The sequence below is a fragment of the Homo sapiens genome, chromosome 3 (assembly GCF_000001405.40).
Source record: "Homo sapiens chromosome 3, GRCh38.p14 Primary Assembly".
NCBI classification, from domain to species: Eukaryota; Metazoa; Chordata; class Mammalia; order Primates; family Hominidae; genus Homo; species Homo sapiens.
Window position 1 is genome coordinate 120243968 of NC_000003.12, and position 13889 is coordinate 120257856.

Below are 13889 nucleotides of genomic sequence, written 5' to 3' on the forward strand. Positions count from 1 at the left end.
TGAGCAGCCCTGGCATCCTGTGGCTGCTCACTTACAATTGTTGTCTTGCAGAGATCATGAAGGGGTCTCCGATCCAGCTCCTGGCCAGGAAAACTGTCACACAATTCAGAGCAGTTTATTTCAGGCTCCATGTCACCACATGCCCCTGTTGGTGTGTGCTTATTCACAGTCTTGGTTACCCACTGGTAGGGATGTAGATCTTTGACTAAGACACAAGAGCAACTCAAATCTTTTCTTCAGAGGCCCCATTTTGGAGCTGGCTGCAGGCTCAGAATCCAGAGTGAACAACCCATTCAGGTAGAAGCAAAGGGTTATTTCGCTAGGCTCCTTCATCAGACATCCTTCAACTGGTGACCCTCCAAAGTCAGACATCCTTCAACTGGTCCCCTGCTGCGAGTGCATGCCATGTGAGTCAAGAGTGGACATCTTAGTAACCATCAGGCTACACAAGGTGATGATTCTGGTTAACCACCAGATGGCAGTCACTGTTCGAGTACCCTCACTCTGGTTCCTGAAGAAAGGAAAGCAATTAAACCTGTTAAACAAAGGCATGTATACACACACACACACACACACACACACACACACACACACACACACACGTAAATGGTTTATTAGAGAGGTTTTAAAATATCATCTATTTTAATTATATAGTTATATTTTATTATACACTTTATTATATATATTACAAAGGTATCAAATATCATATATTTAAATCAACATATTTTAAGCCATTATAGTAAATAATATTTTTAAAACAAAGATAAAGCATATCTAACATTTTCTGCAGTTTCTTTTCAGATCCTGTTTATGGCCCAGTACTGTAAAGACCTTAGCTTAGACTTGTGAGCCACATTTTTCTTTTTTCCATACTGGGAAACCCAGTGCCCTCCCAAGATCTTTCTAGGCAGCTCATGGCTTAAGTTCTGTCTGATCCTGGATGGTGCTGGGCTCAGGTGCCCCATGCTGTCTCCACACATGATCTGTCGGTCACTCTAGCTCTTGTTCTCTCTAGCTCTTGTTCTCTATGTCCAGTCGGCTGGGGTCAAAGAAAGGTACCCAAGCTGCCTGCAAGAGTCTTTGTGTGTTTGTATTTAAACTGTGAGACTAACAGGCGTGAGATAGACTACTCAGGCAATAGGGAAAGAAACTGGGGAGCTCTAGGAACTCCTGCAGAGTGAGTGGCTGGCCAGAGGATGGTGTTATTTCTCTCAGAAGATCCTTGCAATATGAATAATGTGATCTAAAGAGAAGCTCAGCCTTGTGGAACAAAGACAGAAAGGCAAAAAGGCTCAAATTAGCACCAGTAGAAAAGATAGCCATATCCCTAATTCTTTAAAACAATCAATCCCTTAATAGAGAAAATAGATTTGAAATTTTACCAGTGGTAATCTAAAAGAGGCTGCCACTTCTGCTTTGTATTTTTTAAACAGCTTAGCACAGTTTTCTTTGATTGTGGAGGAAAATTGGACAAGGCAAAAATATCCATTACTATTATCTCAATAGCCACTGAACACAGGGCCCATGTTTAAGCCAGAACAACAGTGACAGGTGGAGAGTGCCATCTTTGGAGTCTGTGTGCTTAGGCACAAATAATATAGCACCAGGTGCTGACCATTCATTGGCCTCTCATATGTTCCTGAATTATTTACCAGGTTTATTACAATGAAATCCCAAGAGAACTAAAAGCCACTATCTCCCATCAAGGCATTTAAATTATTGCATATTCTAGTCAGATTATTGAATGCAAAATTAAGAAGCAAATATAAAAACCTATTTGCATTCTAATTTAGTTGAGATTTTAATTGCTAGAAAGATATTTTTTCTTTTCTTTTTTTTTAAAGTTAGAGATTTCCTATTGTGCCTTCTAGCACAGAACCATACTGCAACCACAGGGAGGATTATTACAACATGATGGATTAGAAGAAAATGTATTTTTCCTATATTGCCCTTTTAATCATAGTGGCAAATAAGTACACTTATATTTGAACCATTATTCATTCAATGTTTATATATTATTATATCATTTGGAAGAAGTGTATATGTATATGTATGGGTGTATATATACATAAAACCTCATTTTGTCCTCACTACAGTGTTTTGTGATGTAAACACCATTCCTCATTTTCAAATAAGTAAACTGAAAAGCAGAGAAGAAGAAAACCCTGCTCCAAATCTGCAGAGGCAAGAATCCCAGGAGTTTACATTCCAAGGTCAATGTCATCCCAGTATACACTCCACATGGTGCAGACACTCTGGACTAACTTCTTCCAAGAAGATACCAAGGGGCCTCTTGGGTTTCTTCAGCTTTAGTTCCCAGAGGTGCACTTCTGTGGGCTCCCTAGAGCTTGGCATGCCATAGTGCCTCTTTACCAGTAGTTCTCAACTATGCAATTTTGCACCTTTAGGGGACATTTGGCAATTCTGGAGACATCTGTGGTTGTCAAAATTAAGAGAAGGATGCTATTCACATCTAGTAGGTAGATGCCAAGGATGCTGCTAAACATACTATAATTCACAGGATGGTCTGAACAACAAAGAATTATCTGGCCCCAAATGTCAACAGTGCTAAGGTTAAGAAACCCTGGTCAACACTGTGCACCCCAGGTGGGCTGACAATCTTAAACTTAAATTATCTTTGAGGGATTCTGTAAATATGATGGGGTTGTCCATCTGAGCCTAAAGTCCTGGGGGATGCAACTCTGACTTGGAATAAATTTCTGAGCACATTCTAGAGGTACCCTTGGATAAGCTAAACTCACTGGCTTGGAACCCTGAATGCTAGGCCCCTCTTCAGTCCATGGATATCCAGTGTAGAAACTTTATATACCGTGATATTGGGCTCCTACATGGGACAGGCATTAAACTGCAAACTTGGCACACATTCAGAGAGATTCACACAAGAGGAGCTGATGAAACAATGAAGGGCTCAATCATTGAAAGGAAAGAGTTGAATGGTTTCAAAAAGTGTTTAGTGATTGGGAAAGTGGGTGGGGAGTTATCAGAGAGGGTAATGGTAAGACTTCTGACCACAAGATATATACAGAATCGAAGGCACAAAGGGAAGGGTCTTCCAGGCCCCTCCAAAAGCTACCTTCCCCCTGTACCCTCACAACTAAGTCTCTAGGGAGAAACTGTTTATGTCATAGACAGTAGTAGACCCAAGGCCATGTGTGGTAGTGTTTGCAATTTATTTGACAGAGATTACAGAATCCTTCCCAGTGATTAGGATCAGGAAAACAGACACTATCCCCAAGCAAGATGGTCATTTGCAAGTTCACCCCTCTGTACAGGCCCATATCTTTCTCACAAAATCTCTATTCTTCTATACGTAATTTATGACCAGTCATACAAATACTGTCTTTTAACAAGTTGTTTTGGTTGTTTTGCAGTTGGTAGAACTTCTGCTTCTGTCTGTGAAGAATTAACTGCTGTGCAAATTGCTTTTTTCTGTGAACAAGTTGAAAACCAGACAAAACACATGAAAGAATCATTTTCAGGCATTGTACAACAGATGCCACACAACTGGGCTTCCTAAGAGATACTGCCTGGAGGTCATTTCCAGGTCACAGCACGTGGAGGGAAAACCAATCAGAACCTAGAATTCTACCTGAGGTAAGGGGGAATGGATTGGAATTTAAGGATGTTGAGGTGGTTAGAATTTGTGGGACAGAGTAATGAAGAAGAGGGAGATACAGAGAGTGGGGAGAGCACTTTGGAAATCTGCAGAGGATCCCCCCCAGTCTTCTCCTAAGTATGATTTGGATATGAGCTGGAAGAAACTACTTGGAGTTGAAGAAAAAAACACTGATAGGCAATAGCTGAGTAATTCCTGGAGCTCACACAGGGCTGAGACTACCCTGTGTTTCCATCAGCCAGTGTGGAGAGACCCCAAAATACACAGGACATTGGATAAAATCCTCAGAAAAGCCACATCTTAGTAGTAAAAACAAATTAACTCTAAACTAGATGTTACTCTGGATATACCCTAAAGGAAAGTCTCAAATGGATCAAAGTGATCTGTAAAAACTCAACTGCATTCCAGAACACAACTCAATGCTCTTAAAAGGAATATAACAACATCCAGTGCTCAACAATGTAAAATTCAAAATAATCACCAGGCATTCAAAGAAATGAAAAAATATGACCTATACCCATAAAGTTTTAAAAAATAGATAAATAATATCAGACACAGAAATAACAGAAATGATATAACTATCACACAAGAACCTTAAAACAACTATTATAAATATGCTCTAGGATATAAAGCAAAATATGAACAAAATGAGGAGAGAATTGAAAGATAAAAAGGAGATCTAAATAGAACTTCTAGAGATAACAATATAATATCTGAAATAAAAATGTAACAGATCAGACATTGCAAAAAGAAACATTGGTTAACTTAAAAACATAGCAATAGAAATTATCCAAAAATCTGACCTCATTTAAAATTGCTTCACACTCCCTCTGGCTTTTGTAAATGTTCTTTCTCTGATCTGCCTTTTCCTCCATTGTCCTCAACAGCTTTTATTTTTATTTATTTTTTTTTTTTGAGACAGAGTCTCACTCTGTTGTCCAGGCTGGAGTGTAGTGGCAGGATCTCAGCTCACTGCAACCTCTGCCTCCCAGCTTCAAGCGATTCCCCTGCCTCAGCCTCCCTAGTAGCTGGAATTACAGGCACCTGCCACCATACCCAGCTAATTTTTGTATTTTTAGTAGAGACAGGGTTTCACCATGTTGGCCAGGCTTGTCTCAAACTCCTGATCTCAAGTGATGCACCCGCCTCGGCCCCCCAAAGTGCTGGGATTACAAGTATGAGCCACCATGCCCAGCATGTCCTCAACACCTTTTAATGTGTTATTTAATTTATATATGTATTGGTGTCCACCGATTATTGACTTCCCCCATTAGAACACAAATTCTGTGAAAGTAAGGATCTTAATTTTGTATACCAGTGTATTTTCAGGTGCATAAACAGAAAATGATTGATAAGAATGATATATGGCGGCGGATCAAGATGGCGAAATAGAAGGCTCCACTGATCATTCCCTCTGCAAGGACACCAAGTTAACAGCTGTCTACACAGAAAAAAACACCTTCATAAGAACCAGAAATCAGAGCAGAAAGGCAAACTAGATCAAACTCAGCTGAAATGTGCAAACGGAGGGAGGATTTAAAACAGCCCTAGCCAGAGAAGAATCACCAATCCCAGTGGTCTAAACTTGAGTGCCTGTAAACCTCACCAGTGAAGGCCACAGTGCTCTTTGTCTCCAAGTAAACTTCAAAAGCAGTCTAGGCCATAAGGACTGCAACTCTTAGGTGAGTCCTGGTGCTGAACTAGGCCCAGAGACAGCAGACTGGGAGTGCATGCAACCTACTGAGACACCAGCTGGGGCAGCCAAGAGAGTATTGGCATCACCCCTCCCCTTACCCCAGGCTACACAGCTTACAGCTCCAAAAGAGACCCCTTCCTTCCACTTGAGAATAGGAGAGGGAGAAGTGGGGAGACCATTGTCTTGCGTCTAGGATACCAGCGCAGCCACAGCAGGATAGGGCACTGGTCAGAGTCATGAGGCCTCCATTCTAGGCCCTAGAAACCAGGTGACATTACTAGACACACCCTGGGCCAGAGGGAACCCACTGCATTGAAGGAAAGGACCCAGCCCTGCCGGCATTTATCACCTGCTAAGTGAAGAGCCCTTGGTTCTGAATAACCAGCAGCAATAACCAGGGACTATGTTGAGGGCCTTGGGTGAGCCTCTGAGACTTCCTGGCTTCAGGTAGAACTCAGTACATTACCAGCTGTGGTGGCTGCAGGACAAAACTTCTGCTTGATAAAAGCAGAAGGAAATGTAAAAGGGACTTTGTCTTGCACCTTAGGTACCACCACAGATACAGGGGGTTAGAATACCAAGAGGGCTCTTGGAGTCCCTGATTACAGGACTTGACCCTTGGGCAGCATTTCTGGACCTTCCCTGGGCCAGAGGGGAGCCCACTGTCCTGAAGGGTGAGTCTCAGGCTAGGTAACATTCAGGACAAGCTGATTTAAGAGAACTTGGGCCTTAAGGGAACATCAGCAGTAGTCTGGCAGTCCTCCTCATGGGCTGGGTTGGCAGTGGCCAACATGGCGAAACCCTGTCTCTACTAAAGGCAGTTCCTCTGCCTTTGGAAAGGGGAGAGAAGAGTGGGAAGGACTGTGTCTTGTGGTCTGAGGGCCAGCTCAGCCACAGTATAATAGAATACCAGGTAGACTTCTAAGGTTTTGGACTCTAGTCCTTGACTCCTGGACCTACCTGGGGCATAGGGGAAGGACAAAGCCTTTCCTCTAAAATCTGGAACACAACAAGGATGCCCACTGCCATCACTGTTATTCAACATACTACTGGAAGTCCTAGCTAGAGCAATTAGATAAGAGAAAGATATAAAAAGCATCCAAATTGAAAAGGAATAACTCAAATGATCATTGTTTGCAGACAATATGATCTTATATTTGGAAAAACCTAAAGACTCCACAAGAAAAATGATTAGAACTGATAAATTCAATAAAACTGCAGGATACGAAATCAACACACATTTACCCAAATAAACATGAATCATTCTAGTATGTTCATTACAGCATTATTCACAATAACAAAGACATAGAATCAACCTAAATGCCCATCAATGGTAGACTGGATAAAGATAAAAAAATAAAGTTCTTGTAATACACAAGAACTTCACAATGCAATCACAAGTATCCATAGGATGGACCAAGCAGTGGAAAGAATTTCAGAGCTTGAACACTATCTTTCTGCATATAGACAGGCAGACAAGAATACAGAAACAAATAAAAAGAGAAGGAATGAACAAAACCTCAGAGAAATATGAGATTATGTAAAGAGACCAAACCTATGACTTGACTGGGGTACCTGAAAGAGAGGGGCAGAATGGAACTGAGTTGGAAAACATGCATCAGGATAGCATACAGGAAAACTTCTCCAAGCTAGCAAGATGGGCCAAAGTTCAAATTCAGGAAATGCCGAGAACCCCAGTAAGATACTCCACAAGAAGATCAACTCCAAGATACATAATCATCAGATTCTCCAAGGTGAAAATGAAAAAAAAAATGCTAAGGGTAGCCAGAGAGAAAGTCCAGGTCACCTACAAAGGGAAGCCCAACAGAAAACAGTGGACTCCTCAGCAGAAACTCTACAAGCCAGAAGAGACTGGAAACCAATATTCAACATTCTTAAAGAAAAATATTTCCAATCCAGAATTTCACATCGGGCCAAACTAAGCTTCATAAGTGAAGGAGAAATAAGATCCTTTTCAGACAAGCAAATGCTGAGGGAATTTGTCACAACCAGGCTGCCCTGCAAGCACTCCTGAAGGAAGCACTAAATATGGAAAGGAAAAACTGTTACCAGCTACTACAAAAACATACTAAAGTACACAGACCAGTGACACTATGAAGCAACCACAAAAACAAGTCAGCAAAATAACCAGCTAGCATCATGATGACAGGATCAAATTCATACATAACAATACTAACCTTAAATATAAATGGGCTAAATGCCCCCAATTAAAAGTCACAGAATGGCAAGCTGGATAAACAGCCAAGGGCCATCAGTATGCTGTCTTCAAGACACCCACCTCAAGTGCAAAGACACACATAGGCTCAAAATAAGGGAATGGAGAAAAATTTATGAAGCAAATGGAAAACAGAAAAAAGCAAGGGTTGCAGTCCTAGTTTCTGACAAAACACACTTTACACCAACAAAGATAAAAAAAAGACAAAGAAGGGCATTCCATAATGGTAAAGCGTTCAATTCAACAAGCAGAGCTAACTATCCTAAATATATATGCACCCAATACAGGAGCACCCAGATTCATAAAGCAAGTTCTTAGAGACCTACAAAGAGACTTAGACTCCCACACAATAATAGTGAAATACTTTGACACTCCACTGAAAATATTAGACATATCACTGAGACAGAAAATTAACAAAGATATTCAGGACCTGAACTAAGCTCTGGATCAAGAGGACCTGATAGATATCTACAGAACTCTCCACCCAAAAACAACAGAATATACATTCTTCTCATCACCACATGGCACTTTTTCAGCAAAGGCAAAAGTATTGAAATCATAACAGTCTTTCTGACCACAGCACAATCAAATTAGAACTCAAGATTAAGAAATTCACTCAAAACCACACAACTACATGGAAATTGAACAACCTGCTCCTGAATGACTCCTGGGTAAATAACAAAATTAAGGCAGAAATCAAGAAATTCCTTGAAACTAATGAGAACAAAGAGACAACATACCAGAATCTCTGGGGTGCAGCTGAAGCAGTGTTAAGAGGAAAATTTATAGCACTAAATGCCCACATCAAAAAGCTAGAAAGATCTCAAGTTAACAACCTAATATCACAACTAAAAGAATGACAGAACCAAAAGCAAACAAATTTCAAAGCTAGAAGAAGACAAGACATAACCAAGATCAGATCAGAGTTGAAATGAAAATATAGACACAAAAAACCTTTCAAAAAAATCAATGAATCCAGGAGCTGTTTTATTTAAAATTAATAAAAAGATAGGCAACTAACTAGACTAATAAAGAACAAAAGAGAGAAGAATCAAACAGACACAATCAGAAATGTTAAGTGGGATATCATCACTGATCCCACAGAAATACAAACAACCATCAGAGAATACTACACACACCTGTATGCACATAAACTAGAGAATCTAGAAGAAATGGATAAATTCCTGGACACATACACCTTCTCAAGACTGAAGCAGAAAGAAATTGAATCCCTGAATACACCAATGACACGTTCTGAAATTGAGGCAGTAACAAATAGCCTAACAACCAAAAAAAGCCCAAGATCAGACAGATTCACAGCTGAATTCTACCAGCGGTACAAAGAAAAGCTGGTACCATTTCTACTGAAACTTTTCCAAAAAATTGAAAAGGAAGGACTTCTCCCTAACTCATTCTTGAGGCCAGTATCATCCTCATACCAAACCTGGCAGAGATACAACAACAAAAAAAGAAAATTTCAGGCCAATATCCTTGATGAACATTGAGGCAAAAATCCTCAATAAAATACTGGCAAACCAAATCCAGCAGCACATCAAAAAGCGTATCCACTACGATCAAGTTGGCTTCATCCCTGAGATTCAAGTTTGGTTCAACATATGCAAATCAATAAATGTGATTCATCACATAAACAGAATAAAAGACAAAAACCACATGATTATCTCAATAGGCCCAGAAAAGGCCTTCGATAAAATTCAACATCCCTTCATGTTAAAAGCTCTCAATAAACTAGGTATTGAAGGAACATACTTCAAAATAATAAGAGCCATCTATGACAGTCCCACAGCCAGTATCATACTGAATGGGCAAAAGTTGGAAGCATTCCCTTGAAAACTGGCACAAGACAAGGATGCCCTATCTCACTATTTCTATCCAACATAGTATTAGAAGTTCTGGCCAGGGCAATCAGGCAAGAGAAAGAAATAAATGGTATTCAAATAGGAAGAGAAGAAGTCAAATTATCTTTGTTTGCAGATGACACGATCCTATATCTAGAAAACCCCATTGTCTCAGCCCAAAAGCTTCTTAAGCTGATAAGCAACTTCAGCAAAGACTAAGGATATAAACATCAATGTGCAAAAATTGCTAGCATTCCTATACACCAACAACAGGCAAGCAGAGAGCCAAATTGTGAATGAACTCCCATTCGTAATTGCTACAAAAAGAATAAAATACCTAGGAATACAGCTAATAAGGGAAGTGAAGGACCTCTTCAAGGAGAACTACAAACCACTGCTCAAAGAAATCAGAGAAGACACAAACAAACGGAAAAACATTTCATCCTCATGGATAGGAAGAATCAATATCATGAAAATGGCCATATTGCCCAAAGTAATTTATAGATTCAATGCTATTCCCATTAAATTACCATTGACATTCTTCACAGAATTAGAAGAAAATCATTTTAAAATTCATATGGAACCAAAAAAGAGCCCTAATAGCCAAGGCAATATTAAGCAAAAAGAACAAAGCTTGAGGCATCACACTACCCAACTTCAAACTATAGTACAAGGCTACAGTAACCCAAATAGCATGGTAGTTGTAGAGAAGCAGACACATAAACCAATGAAACAAAATAGCTCAGAAATCAGACCACATACCTACCACCATCTGACTGTTGACAAGCTTGACAAAAACAAGCAATAGGGAAAGGATTCCCTATTTAACAAATGGCGCTAGGGGAACTGGCTAGCCAAATGCAGAAAATTAATACTGGACCCCTTCCTTACACCACATACAAAAATTAACTGGAGATGGATTAAAGACTTAAATGTAAAACCCAAAACTATAAAAAAAAACTCTAGAAGAAAGTCTAGGCAAAACCATTCAGGACATAAGCACAGGAAAAGATTTCATGACAAAAATGCCGAAAGTGATTGCAATGAAAGCAAAAATGACAAATGGAATCTAATTAAACTTAAGAGCTTGTGCACAGCAAAAGAAACTATTATTAGAGCAAACAGACAACCTAAAGAATGGGAGAAAAATTTCTGCAATCTATCTATCTGACAAAGGTTTAATAACCAGAGTCTACAAGGAACTTAAGCCAATTTACAAGAAAAACAAACAACACCATTAAAAAGTGGGCAAAGGACATGAACAGACACTTCTCAAAAGAAGATATACATCTGGCCAACAAACATATGAAAAAAAAAGCTCAACATCACTGATCATTAGAGAAATGCAAATCAAAACCACAATGAGATACCATCTCATGCCAGTCAGAATGGCTATTATTAAAAAGTCAAAAAAAACAACAGAAGCTGCCAATGTTGTGGAGAAAAAGGAATTATTGGTGTGAGTATGAATTAGTTCAATCATTGTGGAAGATAGTGTGGCAATTCCTCAAAGACCTAGAAGCAGAAATACCATTTGACCCAGCAATCCCATTACTGGGTCTATATCCAAAGGAATATAAATCATTCTGTTACAAAGATACATGCACACATATGTTCACTGCAGCACTATTAACAATAGCAAAGACATGGAATCAACCTAAATGCTCATCAATGATATACTAGATAAAGAAAATGTGTTACATATACACCATGGAATACTATGCAGCCATAAAAAGGAATGAGATCATGTTCCTTGCAGGGACATGAATGGAGCTGGAAGCCATTATCCTCAGCAAACTAATGCAGGAACAGAAACCCAAACACTACATGTTCTCACTTATAAGTGGGAGCTGAATGATGAGAACATATGGACACATGTGAGGGGGCAACAACATACACTGGGGCTTGTCGGAGGGGGTGTGGTGAGGGAGGGAGAGCATCAGGAAGAATAGCTAATGGATGCTGGCCTTAATACCTAGGCGATGTGATGATCTGTGCAGTAAACTACCATGGCACACATTTACCTATGTAACAAACTTGCACATCTTGTACATACATGTACTCTTGAACTTAAAATAAAAGTTGAAGGGAAAAAAAAAGAAAATGTGGTACATATACATCATGGAATACTATGCAGCCATAAAAAGAATGAGATTATATCCTTTGCAGGAACATGGATGGAGATGGAGGCCATTATCCTTAGAAAAGTAACACAGGAACAGAAAACCAAATACTGCATGTTCTCACTTACAAGTGGGATCTAAATGATTAGAACACATGGACACACAGAGGGGAACAACAGACACTGGGGCCTACTGAGGGTGAAGAGTGGGAAGAGGGAGAGGATCAGAAAAAATAACTAATGGGTACTAGCTTAGTACCTGGGTGATGAAATAATCTGTACGACAAACCCCATGACATGAGTTTACCTATATAACAAACCTGTACCTATACACCTGAACATAACATAAAAGTTTATAAAAAATCAGTAGCATTTCTATATGCCAACAGTGAACTATGTGAAAAAGAAATAAAAATGTAATCCTATTTATAATAGCCACACATAAAATTAAATATCTAGGAATTAACCTGACCAAAGAAGTGAAAGATCTGTATAATGAAAACTATAAAACACAGATTATAAAAATTGAAGAAGACACCAAAAATGGAAAAATATCCCATATACATGGATTAGAAGAATCAATGTTGTTAAAATGTCCATACTACCCAAAGCAATCTACAGATTCAATGCAATCCCTATCAAAATACCAGTGACATTCTTCACAGAAATAGAAAATACAATCCTAAAATTTATGTGGAACCACAAAAGACCCAGAATAGTTAAAGGTATCCTGAGTGAAAAGAACAAAACTGGAGGAATCACATTACCTGACTTCAAATTATGCTACAGAATGATTGTAACTAAAACAGAATAGTACTGGCATAAAAACAGACTCAGACCAATAGAACAGAAGAGAGAACCCAGAAACTACAGTGAACTCATTTTTGGCAAAGGTGCCAAGAACATACACTGGGAAAGAGAGGGTCTCTTCAATAAATGGTACTGGGAAAACTGGATATCCACATGCATAAGAATGAAACTGGACACCCATCTCTCACCATATACAAAAATCAAATGAAAATGGATTAAAGACTTAAATCTAAGACCTCAAACTATGAAAATACTACAGGAAAACATTGCAGAAAGTCTCTAGACATTGGTCTGGGCAAACATTTCTTGAGCAATATGCCACAAGCACAGGCGACCAAAGCAAAAATGGAAAAATAGGATCACATCAAGTTACAAAGCCTCTGTACATCAAAGGATACAATCAACAAAGTCAAGAGACAACTCACAGAATGACAGAAAATATTTGCCAACTACCCATCTGACAAAGGATTAATCACCAGACTATATAAGGAGCTCAAACAACTCTATAGGAAAAAATTTAATAATCCGATTAAAAAAATGGGCAAAAGAGCTAACAGAAATTTTTCCAACAAAGACAGACAAATGGCAAACAGGTATATGAAAAGATGCTCAATGTCATTTATCATCAGAGAAATGCAGATGAAAACTAAAATATCTTCTCACCCCAGTTAAAATGGCTTATATCCAAAAGACAGGCAATAACAAATGCTGGTGAGGATGTGGAGAAAAAGGGACCCTTGTACACTGTTGGTGGGAATGTACATTAGTGCAACCATTATGGAGAACAGTTTGGAGGTTCCTCAAAAAACTAAAAATTGAGCTACTGTATGATCTGGCAATCCCATCGCTGGATATATACCCAAAAGAAAGAAAAGCAGTATATTAAAGAGATGTCTGCACTCCTGTTTGTTGCAGCATTGCTTACTATAGCTAAGATTTGGAAGCAATCTAAGTCTCCATCAACAGATGAATGAATAAAGAAAATGTGGTACATCTACACAATGATGTACTATTCATCCATGTATAAGAATTAGGTCCAGTAATTAGCAACAACATGGATGGCACTGGAGATCATTACGTTAAGTGAAATAAGCCAAGCACAGAAAGACAAACATCACATCTTCTTATTTATTTGTGGGATCTAAAAATCAAAACAAGTGAACTCATGAACAGAGTATAGAAGGATGGTTACCATAGGTTGGAAAGGGAGTGGGAGGTGGGAGGAGAAGTGGGTATAGTTAAAGTTTATAAAAAATTAGTTAGAATGAGTAAGACTTACTATTTGATAGTACAACAGGGTGACTATAGTCAATAATAACTTAATTGTACATTTTAAAATGAAAAGTGTAAGTACATTGTTTTTACACATGATCTTATCCCAAAAGGCTGAGAAGTGATAAGAGTGTAAGTGGATTGTTTTTAATTCAAAGAATAAATGCTTAAGGGAATAGATACCCCATTCTCCATGATGTGCTTATTTTACATTGCATGCCTATATCAAAACATCTCATGAACCCCTAAATATATTCACC

The 13889-nt window shown here is 38.9% G+C and overlaps 1 protein-coding gene across 4 annotated transcripts in view; it reads right to left on the reverse strand.

The window, feature by feature from the left end:
- GPR156 (G protein-coupled receptor 156) overlaps positions 1 to 13889 on the reverse strand; it is a 119745-nt gene that overhangs the window by 78490 nt on the left and 27366 nt on the right. For all 4 annotated transcript variants that reach the window (NM_001168271.2, NM_153002.3, XM_017005796.2 and 1 more), the window contains exon 2: positions 36 to 511. In NM_001168271.2, the coding sequence (NP_001161743.1) occupies positions 36 to 131 (96 nt within the window). In that variant the 5' untranslated portion in view covers positions 132 to 511. The remainder of the gene's footprint in view (positions 1 to 35; positions 512 to 13889) is intronic.